Source organism: Homo sapiens, chromosome 7, assembly GCF_000001405.40.
Source record: "Homo sapiens chromosome 7, GRCh38.p14 Primary Assembly".
Lineage (NCBI taxonomy): Eukaryota > Metazoa > Chordata > Mammalia > Primates > Hominidae > Homo > Homo sapiens.
The window spans coordinates 58,852,268-58,871,194 of NC_000007.14; the positions used below are offsets into that span (position 1 = coordinate 58,852,268).

General features: G+C 39.0%; 1 annotated feature.

The window, feature by feature from the left end:
• Window positions 1–18,927: part of a centromere (Linear centromere model derived predominantly from reads generated in PMID: 17803354. This region does not represent an actual centromere sequence, as long-range ordering of repeats and unmapped WGS contigs is not provided by the model. For details of model production, see http://arxiv.org/abs/1307.0035.) that runs on past both edges of the window.

Consider the following 18,927-nt stretch of genomic DNA (forward strand, 5'->3'; position numbering starts at 1 on the left):
AACTACTTTGTGATGTGTGCCTTCAACTCACAGAGTTTAACCTTTCTTTTCTTAGAGCAGTTTAGAAACACTCTGCTTGTTATGTCTGCAAGTGGATATTTGGACCTCTTTGAGGCCTTCGTTGCAAACGGGGTTTCTTCCTTTCATGCTAGACTAAGAAGAGTTCTCAGTAACTTTTTTGTGTTGTGTGTATTCAACTCACAGAGTTGAACCTTGCTTTAGAGAGAGCAGATTTGAAACACTCTTGCTGTGGCATTTTCAGGTGGAGATTTCAAGCGATTTGAGGACAATTGCAGAAAAGGAAATATCTTCGTATAATAACCAGACAGAATCATTCTCAGAAAGTGCTTTGTGATGTGTGCGTTCAACTCACAGAGTTTAACTTTTCTTTCCATAGAGGAGTTTGGAAACACACTGTTTGTAAAGTCTGCAAGTGGATATATGGACCTGTTTGAGGCCTTCGTTGGAAACGGGATTTCTTCATTGAATGCTAGACGGAAGAATTCTCAGTAAATTCTTTGTGTTGTGTGCATTCAACTCACAGAGTGGAACGTCCCTTTAGACAGAGCAGATTTGAAACACTCTTTTTGCGGAATTTGCAAGTGGAGATTTCTAGCCATTTGATGCCAACAGTAGAAAGGGAAATATCTTCAAATAAAAACCAGACAGAATCATTCTCAGAAAATTCTTTGTGATGTGTGCGTTCAACTCACATAGTTTAACCTTTCTTTTCATAGAGCAGTTTGGAAACACTCTGTTTGTAAAGTCTGCAAGTGGATATATGGACCGCATTGAGGCCTTCGTTGGAAACGGGATTTCTTCATTTCATGCTAGACAGAAGAATTCTCAGTAACTTCTTTGTGCTGTGTGTATTCAACTCACAGAGTGGAACGTCCCTTTGCACAGAGCAGATTTGAAACACTCTTTTTGTGGAGTTTGCAAGTGGAGATTTCAAGCGATTTGATGCCAACAGTAGAAAAGGAAATATCTTCAAATAAAAACTAGACAGAATCATTCTCAGAAACTACTTTGTGATGTGTGCCTTCAACTCACAGAGTTTAACCTTTCTTTTCTTAGAGCAGTTTAGAAACACTCTGCTTGTTATGTCTGCAAGTGGATATTTGGACCTCTTTGAGGCCTTCGTTGCAAACGGGGTTTCTTCCTTTCATGCTAGACTAAGAAGAGTTCTCAGTAACTTTTTTGTGTTGTGTGTATTCAACTCACAGAGTTGAACCTTGCTTTAGAGAGAGCAGATTTGAAACACTCTTGCTGTGGCATTTTCAGGTGGAGATTTCAAGCGATTTGAGGACAATTGCAGAAAAGGAAATATCTTCGTATAATAACCAGACAGAATCATTCTCAGAAAGTGCTTTGTGATGTGTGCGTTCAACTCACAGAGTTTAACCTTTCTTTTCATAGAGGAGTTTGGAAACACACTGTTTGTAAAGTCTGCAAGTGGATATATGGACCTGTTTGAGGCCTTCGTTGGAAACGGGATTTCTTCATTGAATGCTAGACGGAAGAATTCTCAGTAAATTCTTTGTGTTGTGTGCATTCAACTCACAGAGTGGAACGTCCCTTTAGACAGAGCAGATTTGAAACACTCTTTATGTGGAATTTGCAAGTGGAGATTTCTAGCCATTTGATGCCAACAGTAGAAAGGGAAATATCTTCAAATAAAAACCAGACAGAATCATTCTCAGAAAATTCTTTGTGATGTGTGCGTTCAACTCACATAGTTTAACCTTTCTTTTCATAGAGCAGTTTGGAAACACTCGTTTGTAAAGTCTGCAAGTGGATATATGGACCGCATTGAGGCCTTCGTTGGAAACGGGATTTCTTCATTTCATGCTAGACAGAAGAATTCTCAGTAACTTCTTTGTGCTGTGTGTATTCAACTCACAGAGTGGAACGTCCCTTTGCACAGAGCAGATTTGAAACACTCTTTTTGTGGAATTTGCAAGTGGAGATTTCAAGCGATTTGATGCCAACAGTAGAAAAGGAAATATCTTCAAATAAAAACTAGACAGAATCATTCTCAGAAACTACTTTGTGATGTGTGCCTTCAACTCACAGAGTTTAACCTTTCTTTTCTTAGAGCAGTTTAGAAACACTCTGCTTGTTATGTCTGCAAGTGGATATTTGGACCTCTTTGAGGCCTTCGTTGCAAACGGGGTTTCTTCCTTTCATGCTAGACTAAGAAGAGTTCTCAGTAACTTTTTTGTGTTGTGTGTATTCAACTCACAGAGTTGAACCTTGCTTTAGAGAGAGCAGATTTGAAACACTCTTGCTGTGGCATTTTCAGGTGGAGATTTCAAGCGATTTGAGGACAATTGCAGAAAAGGAAATATCTTCGTATAATAACCAGACAGAATCAGTCTCAGAAAGTGCTTTGTGATGTGTGCGTTCAACTCACAGAGTTTAACCTTTCTTTTCATAGAGGAGTTTGGAAACACACTGTTTGTAAAGTCTGCAATTGGATATATGGACCTGTTTGAGGCCTTCGTTGGAAACGGGATTTCTTCATTGAATGCTAGACGGAAGAATTCTCAGTAAATTCTTTGTGTTGTGTGCATTCAACTCACAGAGTGGAACGTCCCTTTAGACAGAGCAGATTTGAAACACTCTTTTTGCGGAATTTGCAAGTGGAGATTTCTAGCCATTTGATGCCAACAGTAGAAAGGGAAATATCTTCAAATAAAAACCAGACAGAATCATTCTCAGAAAATTCTTTGTGATGTGTGCGTTCAACTCACATAGTTTAACCTTTCTTTTCATAGAGCAGTTTGGAAACACTCTGTTTGTAAAGTCTGCAAGTGGATATATGGACCGCATTGAGGCCTTCGTTGGAAACGGGATTTCTTCATTTCATGCTAGACAGAAGAATTCTCAGTAACTTCTTTGTGCTGTGTGTATTCAACTCACAGAGTGGAACGTCCCTTTACACAGAGCAGATTTGAAACACTCTTTTTGTGGAGTTTGCAAGTGGAGATTTCAAGCGATTTGATGCCAACAGTAGAAAAGGAAATATCTTCAAATAAAAACTAGACAGAATCATTCTCAGAAACTACTTTGTGATGTGTGCCTTCAACTCACAGAGTTTAACCTTTCTTTTCTTAGAGCAGTTTAGAAACACTCTGCTTGTTATGTCTGCAAGTGGATATTTGGACCTCTTTGAAGCCTTCGTTGCAAACGGGGTTTCTTCCTTTCATGCTAGACTAAGAAGAGTTCTCAGTAACTTTTTTGTGTTGTGTGTATTCAACTCACAGAGTTGAACCTTGCTTTAGAGAGAGCAGATTTGAAACACTCTTGCTGTGGCATTTTCAGGTGGAGATTTCAAGCGATTTGAGGACAATTGCAGAAAAGGAAATATCTTCGTATAATAACCAGACAGAATCATTCTCAGAAAGTGCTTTGTGATGTGTGCGTTCAACTCACAGAGTTTAACCTTTCTTTTCATAGAGGAGTTTGGAAACACACTGTTTGTAAAGTCTGCAAGTGGATATATGGACCTGTTTGAGGCCTTCGTTGGATACGGGATTTCTTCATTGAATGCTAGACGGAAGAATTCTCAGTAAATTCTTTGTGTTGTGTGCATTCAACTGACAGAGTGGAACGTCCCTTTAGACAGAGCAGATTTGAAACACTCTTTTTGCGGAATTTGCAAGTGGAGATTTCTAGCCATTTGATGCCAACAGTAGAAAGGGAAATATCTTCAAATAAAAACCAGACAGAAACATTCTCAGAAAATTCTTTGTGATGTGTGCGTTCAACTCACATAGTTTAACCTTTCTTTTCATAGAGCAGTTTGGAAACACTCTGTTTGTAAAGTCTGCAAGTGGATATATGGACCGCATTGAGGCCTTCGTTGGAAACGGGATTTCTTCATTTCATGCTAGACAGAAGAATTCTCAGTAACTTCTTTGTGCTGTGTGTATTCAACTCACAGAGTGGAACGTCCCTTTGCACAGAGCAGATTTGAAACACTCTTTTTGTGGAGTTTGCAAGTGGAGATTTCAAGCGATTTGATGCCAACAGTAGAAAAGGAAATATCTTCAAATAAAAACTAGACAGAATCATTCTCAGAAACTACTTTGTGACGTGTGCCTTCAACTCACAGAGTTTAACCTTTCTTTTCTTAGAGCAGTTTAGAAACACTCTGCTTGTTATGTCTGCAAGTGGATATTTGGACCTCTTTGAGGCCTTCGTTGCAAACGGGGTTTCTTCCTTTAATGCTAGACTAAGAAGAGTTCTCAGTAACTTTTTTGTGTTGTGTGTATTCAACTCACAGAGTTGAACCTTGCTTTAGAGAGAGCAGATTTGAAACACTCTTGCTGTGGCATTTTCAGGTGGAGATTTCAAGCGATTTGAGGACAATTGCAGAAAAGGAAATATCTTCGTATAATAACCAGACAGAATCATTCTCAGAAAGTGCTTTGTGATGTGTGCGTTCAACTCACAGAGTTTAACCTTTCTTTTCATAGAGGAGTTTGGAAACACACTGTTTGTAAAGTCTGCAAGTGGATATATGGACCTGTTTGAGGCCTTCGTTGGAAACGGGATTTCTTCATTGAATGCTAGACGGAAGAATTCTCAGTAAATTCTGTGTTGTGTGCATTCAACTCACAGAGTGGAACGTCCCTTTAGACAGAGCAGATTTGAAACACTCTTTTTGCGGAATTTGCAAGTGGAGATTTCTAGCCATTTGATGCCAACAGTAGAAAGGGAAATATCTTCAAATAAAAACCAGACAGAATCATTCTCAGAAAATTCTTTGTGATGTGTGCGTTCAACTCACATAGTTTAACCTTTCTTTTCATAGAGCAGTTTGGAAACACTCTGTTTGTAAAGTCTGCAAGTGGATATATGGACCGCATTGAGGCCTTCGTTGGAAACGGGATTTCTTCATTTCATGCTAGACAGAAGAATTCTCAGTAACTTCTTTGTGCTGTGTGTATTCAACTCACAGAGTGGAACGTCCCTTTGCACAGAGCAGATTTGAAACACTCTTTTTGTGGAGTTTGCAAGTGGATATTTCAAGCGATTTGATGCCAACAGTAGAAAAGGAAATATCTTCAAATAAAAACTAGACAGAATCATTCTCAGAAACTACTTTGTGATGTGTGCCTTCAACTCACAGAGTTTAACCTTTCTTTTCTTAGAGCAGTTTAGAAACACTCTGCTTGTTATGTCTGCAAGTGGATATTTGGACCTCTTTGAGGCCTTCGTTGCAAACGGGGTTTCTTCCTTTCATGCTAGACTAAGAAGAGTTCTCAGTAACTTTTTTGTGTTGTGTGTATTCAACTCACAGAGTTGAACCTTGCTTTAGAGAGAGCAGATTTGAAACACTCTTGCTGTGGCATTTTCAGGTGGAGATTTCAAGCGTTTTGAGGACAATTGCAGAAAAGGAAATATCTTCGTATAATAACCAGACAGAATCATTCTCAGAAAGTGCTTTGTGATGTGTGCGTTCCACTCACAGAGTTTAACCTTTCTTTTCATAGAGGAGTTTGGAAACACACTGTTTGTAAAGTCTGCAAGTGGATATATGGACCTGTTTGAGGCCTTCGTTGGAAACGGGATTTCTTCATTGAATGCTAGACGGAAGAATTCTCAGTAAATTCTTTGTGTTGTGTGCATTCAACTGACAGAGTGGAACGTCCCTTTAGACAGAGCAGATTTGAAACACTCTTTTTGCGGAATTTGCAAGTGGAGATTTCTAGCCATTTGATGCCAACAGTAGAAAGGGAAATATCATTCAAATAAAAACCAGACAGAATCATTCTCAGAAAATTCTTTGTGATGTGTGCGTTCAACTCACATAGTTTAACCTTTCTTTTCATAGAGCAGTTTGGAAACACTCTGTTTGTAAAGTCTGCAAGTGGATATATGGACCGCATTGAGGCCTTCGTTGGAAACGGGATTTCTTCATTTCATGCTAGACAGAAGAATTCTCAGTAACTTCTTTGTGCTGTGTGTATTCAACTCACAGAGTGGAACGTCCCTTTACACAGAGAAGATTTGAAACACTCTTTTTGTGGAGTTTGCAAGTGGAGATTTCAAGCGATTTGATGCCAACAGTAGAAAAGGAAATATCTTCAAATAAAAACTAGACAGAATCATTCTCAGAAACTACTTTGTGATGTGTGCCTTCAACTCACAGAGTTTAACCTTTCTTTTCTTAGAGCAGTTTAGAAACACTCTGCTTGTTATGTCTGCAAGTGGATATTTGGACCTCTTTGAGGCCTTCGTTGCAAACGGGGTTTCTTCCTTTCATGCTAGACTAAGAAGAGTTCTCAGTAACTTTTTTGTGTTGTGTGTATTCAACTCACAGAGTTGAACCTTGCTTTAGAGAGAGCAGATTTGAAACACTCTTGCTGTGGCATTTTCAGGTGGAGATTTCAAGCGATTTGAGGACAATTGCAGAAAAGGAAATATCTTCGTATAATAACCAGACAGAATCATTCTCAGAAAGTGCTTTGTGATGTGTGCGTTCCACTCACAGAGTTTAACCTTTCTTTTCATAGAGGAGTTTGGAAACACACTGTTTGTAAAGTCTGCAAGTGGATATATGGACCTGTTTGAGGCCTTCGTTGGAAACGGGATTTCTTCATTGAATGCTAGACGGAAGAATTCTCAGTAAATTCTTTGTGTTGTGTGCATTCAACTGACAGAGTGGAACGTCCCTTTAGACAGAGCAGATTTGAAACACTCTTTTTGCGGAATTTGCAAGTGGAGATTTCTAGCCATTTGATGCCAACAGTAGAAAGGGAAATATCTTCAAATAAAAACCAGACAGAATCATTCTCAGAAAATTCTTTGTGATGTGTGCGTTCAACTCACATAGTTTAACCTTTCTTTTCATAGAGCAGTTTGGAAACACTCTGTTTGTAAAGTCTGCAAGTGGATATATGGACCGCATTGAGGCCTTCGTTGGAAACGGGATTTCTTCATTTCATGCTAGACAGAAGAATTCTCAGTAACTTCTTTGTGCTGTGTGTACTCAACTCACAGAGTGGAACGTCCCTTTGCACAGAGCAGATTTGAAACACTCTTTTTGTGGAGTTTGCAAGTGGAGATTTCAAGCGATTTGATGCCAACAGTAGAAAAGGAAATATCTTCAAATAAAAACTAGACAGAATCATCCTCAGAAACTACTTTGTGATGTCTGCCTTCAACTCACAGAGTTTAACCTTTCTTTTCTTAGAGCAGTTTAGAAACACTCTGCTTGTTATGTCTGCAAGTGGATATTTGGACCTCTTTGAGGCCTTCGTTGCAAACGGGGTTTCTTCCTTTCATGCTAGACTAAGAAGAGTTCTCAGTAACTTTTTTGTGTTGTGTGTATTCAACTCACAGAGCTGAACCTTGCTTTAGAGAGAGCAGATTTGAAACACTCTTGCTGTGGCATTTTAAGGTGGAGATTTCAAGCGATTTGAGGACAATTGCAGAAAAGGAAATATCTTCGTATAACAACCAGACAGAATCATTCTCAGAAAGTGCTTTGTGATGTGTGCGTTCCACTCACAGAGTTTAACCTTTCTTTTCATAGAGGAGTTTGGAAACACACTGTTTGTAAAGTCTGCAAGTGGATATATGGACCTGTTTGAGGCCTTCGTTGGAAACGGGATTTCTTCATTGAATGCTAGACGGAAGAATTCTCAGTAAATTCTTTGTGTTGTGTGCATTCAACTCACAGAGTGGAACGTCCCTTTAGACAGAGCAGATTTGAAACACTCTTTTTGCGGAATTTGCAAGTGGAGATTTCTAGCCATTTGATGCCAACAGTAGAAAGGGAAATATCTTCAAATAAAAACCAGACAGAATCATTCTCAGAAAATTCTTTGTGATGTGTGCGTTCAACTCACATAGTTTAACCTTTCTTTTCTTAGAGCAGTTTAGAAACACTCTGCTTGTTATGTCTGCAAGTGGATATTTGGACCTCTTTGAGGCCTTCGTTGCAAACGGGGTTTCTTCCTTTCATGCTAGACTAAGAAGAGTTCTCAGTAACTTTTTTGTGTTGTGTGTATTCAACTCACAGAGTTGAACCTTGCTTTAGAGAGAGCAGATTTGAAACACTCTTGCTGTGGCATTTTCAGGTGGAGATTTCAAGCGATTTGAGGACAATTGCAGAAAAGGAAATATCTTCGTATAATAACCAGAGAGAATCATTCTCAGAAAGTGCTTTGTGATGTGTGCGTTCAACTCACAGAGTTTAACCTTTCCTTTCATAGAGGAGTTTGGAAACACACTGTTTGTAAAGTCTGCAATTGGATATATGGACCTGTTTGAGGCCTTCGTTGGAAACGGGATTTCTTCATTGAATGCTAGACGGAAGAATTCTCAGTAAATTCTTTGTGTTGTGTGCATTCAACTCACAGAGTGGAACGTCCCTTTAGACAGAGCAGATTAGAAACACTCTTTTTGCGGAATTTGCAAGTGGAGATTTCTAGCCATTTGATGCCAACAGTAGAAAGGGAAATATCTTCAAATAAAAACCAGACAGAATCATTCTCAGAAAATTCTTTGTGATGTGTGCGTTCAACTCACATAGTTTAACCTTTCTTTTCATAGAGCAGTTTGGAAACACTCTGTTTGTAAAGTCTGCAAGTGGATATATGGACCGCATTGAGGCCTTCGTTGGAAACGGGATTTCTTCATTTCATGCTAGACAGAAGAATTCTCAGTAACTTCTTTGTGCTGTGTGTATTCAACTCACAGAGTGGAACGTCCCTTTGCACAGAGCAGATTTGAAACACTCTTTTTGTGGAGTTTGCAAGTGGAGATTTCAAGCGATTTGATGCCAACAGTAGAAAAGGAAATATCTTCAAATAAAAACTAGACAGAATCATTCTCAGAAACTACTTTGTGATGTGTGCCTTCAACTCACAGAGTTTAACCTTTCTTTTCTTAGAGCAGTTTAGAAACACTCTGCTTGTTATGTCTGCAAGTGGATATTTGGACCTCTTTGAGGCCTTCCTTGCAAACGGGGTTTCTTCCTTTCATGCTAGACTAAGAAGAGTTCTCAGTAACTTTTTTGTGTTGTGTGTATTCAACTCACAGAGTTGAACCTTGCTTTAGAGAGAGCAGATTTGAAACACTCTTGCTGTGGCATTTTCAGGTGGAGATTTCAAGCGATTTGAGGACAATTGCAGAAAAGGAAATATCTTCGTATAATAACCAGACAGAATCATTCTCAGAAAGTGCTTTGTGATGTGTGCGTTCAACTCACAGAGTTTAACCTTTCTTTTCATAGAGGAGTTTGGAAACACACTGTTTGTAAAGTCTGCAAGTGGATATATGGACCTGTTTGAGGCCTTCGTTGGAAACGGGATTTCTTCATTGAATGCTAGACAGAAGAATTCTCAGTAAATTCTTTGTGTTGTGTGCATTCAACTCACAGAGTGGAACGTCCCTTTAGACAGAGCAGATTTGAAACACTCTTTTTGCGGAATTTGCAAGTGGAGATTTCTAGCCATTTGATGCCAACAGTTGAAAGGGAAATATCTTCAAATAAAAACCAGAGAGAATCATTCTCAGAAAATTCTTTGTGATGTGTGCGTTCAACTCACATAGTTTAACCTTTCCTTTCATGGAGCAGTTTGGAAACACTCTGTTTGTAAAGTCTGCAAGTGGATATATGGACCGCATTGAGGCCTTCGTTGGAAACGGGATTTCTTCATTTCATGCTAGACAGAAGAATTCTCAGTAACTTCTTTGTGCTGTGTGTATTCAACTCACAGAGTGGAACGTCCCTTTACACAGAGCAGATTTGAAACACTCTTTTTGTGGAGTTTGCAAGTGGAGATTTCAAGCGATTTGATGCCAACAGTAGAAAAGGAAATATCTTCAAATAAAAACTAGACAGAATCATTCTCAGAAACTACTTTGTGATGTGTGCCTTCAACTCACAGAGTTTAACCTTTCTTTTCTTAGAGCAGTTTAGAAACACTCTGCTTGTTATGTCTGCAAGTGGATATTTGGACCTCTTTGAGGCCTTCGTTGCAAACGGGGTTTCTTCCTTTCATGCTAGACTAAGAAGAGTTCTCAGTAACTTTTTTGTGTTGTGTGTATTCAACTCACAGAGTTGAACCTTGCTTTAGAGAGAGCAGATTTGAAACACTCTTGCTGTGGCATTTTCAGGTGGAGATTTCAAGCGATTTGAGGACAATTGCAGAAAAGGAAATATCTTCGTATAATAACCAGACAGAATCATTCTCAGAAAGTGCTTTGTGATGTGTGCGTTCCACTCACAGAGTTTAACCTTTCTTTTCATAGAGGAGTTTGGAAACACACTGTTTGTAAACTCTGCAAGTGGATATATGGACGTGTTTGAGGCCTTCGTTGGAAACGGGATTTCTTCATTGAATGCTAGACGGAAGAATTCTCAGTAAATTCTTTGTGTTGTGTGCATTCAACTGACAGAGTGGAACGTCCCTTTAGACAGAGCAGATTTGAAACACTCTTTTTGCGGAATTTGCAAGTGGAGATTTCTAGCCATTTGATGCCAACAGTAGAAAGGGAAATATCTTCAAATAAAAACCAGACAGAATCATTCTCAGAAAATTCTTTGTGATGTGTGCGTTCAACTCACATAGTTTAACCTTTCTTTTCATAGAGCAGTTTGGAAACACTCTGTTTGTAAAGTCTGCAAGTGGATATATGGACCGCATTGAGGCCTTCGTTGGAAACGGGATTTCTTCATTTCATGCTAGACAGAAGAATTCTCAGTAACTTCTTTGTGCTGTGTGTATTCAACTCACAGAGTGGAACGTCCCTTTACACAGAGCAGATTTGAAACACTCTTTTTGTGGAATTTGCAAGTGGAGATTTCAAGCGATTTGATGCCAACAGTAGAAAAGGAAATATCTTCAAATAAAAACTAGACAGAATCATTCTCAGAAACTACTTTGTGATGTGTGCCTTCAACTCACAGAGTTTAACCTTTCTTTTCTTAGAGCAGTTTAGAAACACTCTGCTTGTTATGTCTGCAAGTGGATATTTGGACCTACTTTGAGGCCTTCGTTGCAAACGGGGTTTCTTCCTTTCATGCTAGACTAAGAAGAGTTCTCAGTAACTTTTTTGTGTTGCGTGTATTCAACTCACAGAGTTGAACCTTGCTTTAGAGAGAGCAGATTTGAAACACTCTTGCTGTGGCATTTTCAGGTGGAGATTTCAAGCGATTTGAGGACAATTGCAGAAAAGGAAATATCTTCGTATAATAACCAGACAGAATCATTCTCAGAAAGTGCTTTGTGATGTGTGCGTTCAACTCACAGAGTTTAACCTTTCTTTTCATAGAGGAGTTTGGAAACACACTGTTTGTAAAGTCTGCAATTGGATATATGGACCTGTTTGAGGCCTTCGTTGGAAACGGGATTTCTTCATTGAATGCTAGACGGAAGGATTCTCAGTAAATTCTTTGTGTTGTGTGCATTCAACTCACAGAGTGGAACGTCCCTTTAGACAGAGCAGATTTGAAACACTCTTTTTGCGGAATTTGCAAGTGGAGATTTCTAGCCATTTGATGCCAACAGTAGAAAGGGAAATATCTTCAAATAAAAACCAGACAGAATCATTCTCAGAAAATTCTTTGTGATGTGTGCGTTCAACTCACATAGTTTAACCTTTCTTTTCATAGAGCAGTTTGGAAACACTCTGTTTGTAAAGTCTGCAAGTGGATATATGGACCGCATTGAGGCCTTCGTTGGAAACGGGATTTCTTCATTTCATGCTAGACAGAAGAATTCTCAGTAACTTCTTTGTGCTGTGTGTATTCAACTCACAGAGTGGAACGTCCCTTTGCACAGAGCAGATTTGAAACACTCTTTTTGTGGAGTTTGCAAGTGGAGATTTCAAGCGATTTGATGCCAACAGTAGAAAAGGAAATATCTTCAAATAAAAACTAGACAGAATCATTCTCAGAAACTACTTTGTGATGTGTGCCTTCAACTCACAGAGTTTAACCTTTCTTTTCTTAGAGCAGTTTAGAAACACTCTGCTTGTTATGTCTGCAAGTGGATATTTGGACCTCTTTGAGGCCTTCGTTGCAAATGGGGTTTCTTCCTTTCATGCTAGACTAAGAAGAGTTCTCAGTAACTTTTTTGTGTTGTGTGTATTCAACTCACAGAGTTGAACCTTGCTTTAGAGAGAGCAGATTTGAAACACTCTTGCTGTGGCATTTTCAGGTGGAGATTTCAAGCGATTTGAGGACAATTGCAGAAAAGGAAATATCTTCGTATAATAACCAGACAGAATCATTCTCAGAAAGTGCTTTGTGATGTGTGCGTTCAACTCACAGAGTTTAACCTTTCTTTTCATAGAGGAGTTTGGAAACACACTGTTTGTAAAGTCTGCAAGTGGATATATGGACCTCTTTGAGGCCTTCGTTGGAAACGGGATTTCTTCATTGAATGCTAGACGGAAGAATTCTCAGTAAATTCTTTGTGTTGTGTGCATTCAACTCACAGAGTGGAACGTCCCTTTAGACAGAGCAGATTTGAAACACTCTTTTTGCGGAATTTGCAAGTGGAGATTTCTAGCCATTTGATGCCAACAGTAGAAAGGGAAACATCTTCAAATAAAAACCAGACAGAATCATTCTCAGAAAATTCTTTGTGATGTGTGCGTTCAACTCACATAGTTTAACCTTTCTTTTCATAGAGCAGTTTGGAAACACTCTGTTTGTAAAGTCTGCAAGTGGATATATGGACCGCATTGAGGCCTTCGTTGGAAACGGGATTTCTTCATTTCATGCTAGACAGAAGAATTCTCAGTAACTTCTTTGTGCTGTGTGTATTCAACTCACAGAGTGGAACGTCCCTTTGCACAGAGCAGATTTGAAACACTCTTTTTGTGGAATTTGCAAGTGGAGATTTCAAGCGATTTGACGCCAACAGTATGAAAGGAAATATCTTCAAATAAAAACTAGACAGAATCATTCTCAGAAACTACTTTGTGATGTGTGCCTTCAACTCACAGAGTTTAACCTTTCTTTTCTTAGAGCAGTTTAGAAACACTCTGCTTGTTATGTCTGCAAGTGGATATTTGGACCTCTTTGAGGCCTTCGTTGCAAACGGGGTTTCTTCCTTTCATGCTAGACTAAGAAGAGTTCTCAGTAACTTTTTTGTGTTGTGTGTATTCAACTCACAGAGTTGAACCTTGCTTTAGAGAGAGCAGATTTGAAACACTCTTGCTGTGGCATTTTCAGGTGGAGATTTCAAGCGATTTGAGGACAATTGCAGAAAAGGAAATATCTTCGTATAATAACCAGACAGAATCATTCTCAGAAAGTGCTTTGTGATGTGTGCGTTCCACTCACAGAGTTTAACCTTTCTTTTCATAGAGGAGTTTGGAAACACACTGTTTGTAAAGTCTGCAAGTGGATATATGGACCTGTTTGAGGCCTTCGTTGGAAACGGGATTTCTTCATTGAATGCTAGACGGAAGAATTCTCAGTAAATTCTTTGTGTTGTGTGCATTCAACTCACAGAGTGGAACGTCCCTTTAGACAGAGCAGATTTGAAACACTCTTTTTGCGGAATTTGCAAGTGGAGATTTATAGCCATTTGATGCCAACAGTAGAAAGGGAAATATCTTCAAATAAAAACCAGACAGAATCATTCTCAGAAAATTCTTTGTGATGTGTGCGTTCAACTCACATAGTTTAACCTTTCTTTTCATAGAGCAGTTTGGAAACACTCTGTTTGTAAAGTCTGCAAGTGGATATATGGACCGCATTGAGGCCTTCATTGGAAACGGGATTTCTTCATTTCATGCTAGACAGAAGAATTCTCAGTAACTTCTTTGTGCTGTGTGTATTCAACTCACAGAGTGGAACGTCCCTTTACACAGAGCAGATTTGAAACACTCTTTTTGTGGAGTTTGCAAGTGGAGATTTCAAGCGATTTGATGCCAACAGTAGAAAAGGAAATATCTTCAAATAAAAACTAGACAGAATCATTCTCAGAAACTACTTTGTGATGTGTGCCTTCAACTCACAGAGTTTAACCTTTCTTTTCTTAGAGCAGTTTAGAAACACTCTGCTTGTTATGTCTGCAAGTGGATATTTGGACCTCTTTGAGGCCTTCGTTGCAAACGGGGTTTCTTCCTTTCATGCTAGACTAAGAAGAGTTCTCAGTAACTTTTTTGTGTTGTGTGTATTCAACTCACAGAGTTGAACCTTGCTTTAGAGAGAGCAGATTTGAAACACTCTTGCTGTGGCATTTTCAGGTGGAGATTTCAAGCGATTTGAGGACAATTGCAGAAAAGGAAAATATCTTCGTATAACAACCAGACAGAATCATTCTCAGAAAGTGCTTTGTGATGTGTGCGTTCCACTCACAGAGTTTAACCTTTCTTTTCATAGAGGAGTTTGGAAACACACTGTTTGTAAACTCTGCAAGTGGATATATGGACCTGTTTGAGGCCTTCGTTGGAAACGGGATTTCTTCATTGAATGCTAGACGGAAGAATTCTCAGTAAATTCTTTGTGTTGTGTGCATTCAACTCACAGAGTGGAACGTCCCTTTAGACAGAGCAGATTTGAAACACTCTTTTTGCGGAATTTGCAAGTGGAGATTTCTAGCCATTTGATGCCAACAGTAGAAAGGGAAATATCTTCAAATAAAAACCAGACAGAATCATTCTCAGAAAATTCTTTGTGATGTGTGCGTTCAACTCACATAGTTTAACCTTTCTTTTCATAGAGCAGTTTGGAAACACTCTGTTTGTAAAGTCTGCAAGTGGATATATGGACCGCATTGAGGCCTTCGTTGGAAACGGGATTTCTTCATTTCATGCTAGACAGAAGAATTCTCAGTAACTTCTTTGTGCTGTGTGTATTCAACTCACAGAGTGGAACGTCCCTTTGCACAGAGCAGATTTGAAACACTCTTTTTGTGGAGTTTGCAAGTGGAGATTTCAAGCGATTTGATGCCAACAGTAGAAAAGGAAATATCTTCAAATAAAAACTAGACAGAATCATTCTCAGAAACTACTTTGTGATGTGTGCCTTCAACTCACAGAGTTTAACCTTTCTTTTCTTAGAGCAGTTTAGAAACACTCTGCTTGTTATGTCTGCAAGTGGATATTTGGACCTCTTTGAGGCCTTCGTTGCAAACGGGGTTTCTTCCTTTCATGCTAGACTAAGAAGAGTTCTCAGTAACTTTTTTGTGTTGTGTGTATTCAACTCACAGAGTTGAACCTTGCTTTAGAGAGAGCAGATTTGAAACACTCTTGCTGTGGCATTTTCAGGTGGAGATTTCAAGCGATTTGAGGACAATTGCAGAAAAGGAAATATCTTCGTATAACAACCAGACAGAATCATTCTCAGAAAGTGCTTTGTGATGTGTGCGTTCAACTCACAGAGTTTAACCTTTCTTTTCATAGAGGAGTTTGGAAACACACTGTTTGTAAAGTCTGCAAGTGGATATATGGACCTGTTTGAGGCCTTCGTTGGAAACGGGATTTCTTCATTGAATGCTAGACGGGAAGAATTCTCAGTAAATTCTTTGTGTTGTGTGCATTGAACTCACAGAGTGGAACGTCCCTTTAGACAGAGCAGATTTGAAACACTCTTTTTGCGGAATTTGCAAGTGGAGATTTCTACCCATTTGATGTCAACAGTAGAAAGGGAAATATCTTCAAATAAAAACCAGACAGAATCATTCTCAGAAAATTCTTTGTGATGTGTGCGTTCAACTCACATAGTTTAACCTTTCTTTTCATAGAGCAGTTTGGAAACACTCTGTTTGTAAAGTCTGCAAGTGGATATATGGACCGCATTGAGGCCTTCGTTGGAAACGGGATTTCTTCATTTCATGCTAGACAGAAGAATTCTCAGTAACTTCTTTGTGCTGTGTGTATTCAACTCACAGAGTGGAACGTCCCTTTGCACAGAGCAGATTTGAAACACTCTTTTTGTGGAGTTTGCAAGTGGAGATTTCAAGCGATTTGATGCCAACAGTAGAAAAGGAAATATCTTCAAATAAAAACTAGACAGAATCATTCTCAGAAACTACTTTGTGATGTGTGCCTTCAACTCACAGAGTTTAACCTTTCTTTTCTTAGAGCAGTTTAGAAACACTCTGCTTGTTATGTCTGCAAGTGGATATTTGGACCTCTTTGAGGCCTTCGTTGCAAACGGGGTTTCTTCCTTTCATGCTAGACTAAGAAGAGTTCTCAGTAACTTTTTTGTGTTGTGTGTATTCAACTCACAGAGTTGAACCTTGCTTTAGAGAGAGCAGATTTGAAACACTCTTGCTGTGGCATTTTCAGGTGGAGATTTCAAGCGATTTGAGGACAATTGCAGAAAAGGAAATATCTTCCGTATAATAACCAGACAGAATCATTCTCAGAAAGTGCTTTGTGATGTGTTCGGTTCAACTCACAGAGTTGAACCTTTCTTTTCATAGAGGAGTTTGGAAACACACTGTTTGTAAAGTCTGCAAGTGGATATATGGACCTGTTTGAGGCCTTCGTTGGAAACGGCATTTCTTCATTGAATGCTAGACGGAAGAATTCTCAGTAAATTCTTTGTGTTGTGTGCATTCATCTCACCGAGAGGAACGTCCTTGTAGACAGAGCAGATTTGAAACACTCTTTTTGCGAAATTTGGAAGTGGAGATTTCAAGCCATTTGATGCCAACAGTAGAAAGGGAAATATCTTCAAATAAAAACCAGACAGAATCATTCTCAGAAAATTCTTTGTGATGTGTGCGTTCAACTCACATAGTTTCACCTTTCTTTTCATAGAGCAGTTTGGAAACACTCTGTTTGTAATGTCTGCAAGTGGATATATGGACCGCTTTGAGGCCTTCGTTGGAAACGGAATTTCTTCATTTCATGCTAGACAGAAGAATTCTCAGTAACTTCTTTGTGTTGTGTGTATTCTACTCACAGATTGGAACGTCAATTTACACAGAGCAGATTTGAAACACTCTGTTTGTGGAATTTGCAAGTGGAGATTTCAAGCGATTTGATGCCAACAGTAGAAAAGGAAATATCTGCAAACAAAAACTAGACAGAATCATTCTCAGAAAATGCTTTGTGATGTGTGCGTTCAACTCACAGAGTTTAACCTTTCTTTTCATAGAGGAGTTTGGAAACACACTGTTTCTAATGTCTGCAAGTGGATATATGGACCTGTTTGAGGCCTTCGTTGCAAACGGGATTTTATCATATAATGCTAGACGGAAGAATTCTCAGTAAATTCTTTGTGTTGTGTGCCTTCAACTCACCGAGTGGAACGTCCCTTTAGACAGAGCAGATTTGAAACACTCTTTTTGCGAAATTTGGAAGTGGAGATTTCAAGCCATTTGATGCCAACAGTAGAAAGGGACATATCTTCAAATAAAAACCAGACAGAATCATTCTCAGAAAATTCTTTGTGATGTGTGCGTTCAACTCACATAGTTTAACCTTTCTTTTCATAGAGCAGTTTGGAAACACTCTGTTTGTAAAGTCTGCAAGTGGATATGTGGACCGCATTGAGGCCTTCGTTGGAAACGGGATTTCTTCATTTCATGCTAGACAGAAGAATTCTCAGTAACTTCTTTGTGCTGTGTGTATTCAACTCACAGAGTGGAACGTCCCTTTGCACAGAGCAGATTTGAAACACTCTTTTTGTGGAATTTGCAAGTGGAGATTTCAAGCGATTTGATGCCAACAGTAGAAAAGGAAATATCTTCAAATAAAAACTAGACAGAATCATTCTCAGAAACTACTTTGTGATGTGTGCCTTCAACTCACAGAGTTTAACCTTTCTTTTCTTAGAGCAGTTTAGAAACACTCTGCTTGTTATGTCTGCAAGTGGATATTTGGACCTCTTTGAGGCCTTCGTTGCAAACGGGGTTTCTTCCTTTCATGCTAGACTAAGAAGAGTTCTCAGTAACTTTTTTGTGTTGTGTGTATTCAACTCACAGAGTTGAACCTTGCTTTAGAGAGAGCAGATTTGAAACACTCTTGCTGTGGCATTTTCAGGTGGAGATTTCAAGCGTTTTGAGGACAATTGCAGAAAAGGAAATATCTTCGTATAATAACCAGACAGAATCATTCTCAGAAAGTGCTTTGTGATGTGTGCGTTCCACTCACAGAGTTTAACCTTTCTTTTCATAGAGGAGTTTGGAAACACACTGTTTGTAAAGTCTGCAAGTGGATATATGGACCTGTTTGAGGCCTTCGTTGGAAACGGGATTTCTTCATTGAATGCTAGACGGAAGAATTCTCAGTAAATTCTTTGTGTTGTGTGCATTCAACTCACAGAGTGGAACGTCCCTTTAGACAGAGCAGATTTGAAACACTCTTTTTGCGGAATTTGCAAGTGGAGATTTCTAGCCATTTGATGCCAACAGTAGAAAGGGAAATATCTTCAAATAAAAACCAGGCAGAATCATTCTCAGAAAATTCTTTGTGATGTGTGCGTTCAACTCACATAGTTTAACCTTTCTTTTCATAGAGCAGTTTGGAAACACTCTGTTTGTAAAGTCTGCAAGTGGATATATGGACCGCATTGAGGCCTTCGTTGGAAACGGGATTTCTTCATTTCATGCTAGACAGAAGAATTCTCAGTAACTTCTTTGTGCTGTGTGTATTCAACTCACAGAGTGGAACGTCCCTTTACACAGAGCAGATTTGAAACACTCTTTTTGTGGAGTTTGCAAGTGGAGATTTCAAGCGATTTGATGCCAACAGTAGAAAAGGAAATATCTTCAAATAAAAACTAGACAGAATCATTCTCAGAAACTACTTTGTGATGTGTGCCTTCAACTCACAGAGTTTAACCTTTCTTTTCTTAGAGCAGTTTAGAAACACTCTGCTTGTTATGTCTGCAAGTGGATATTTGGACCTCTTTGAGGCCTTCGTTGCAAACGGGGTTTCGTCCTTTAATGCTAGACTAAGAAGAGTTCTCAGTAACTTTTTTGTGTTGTG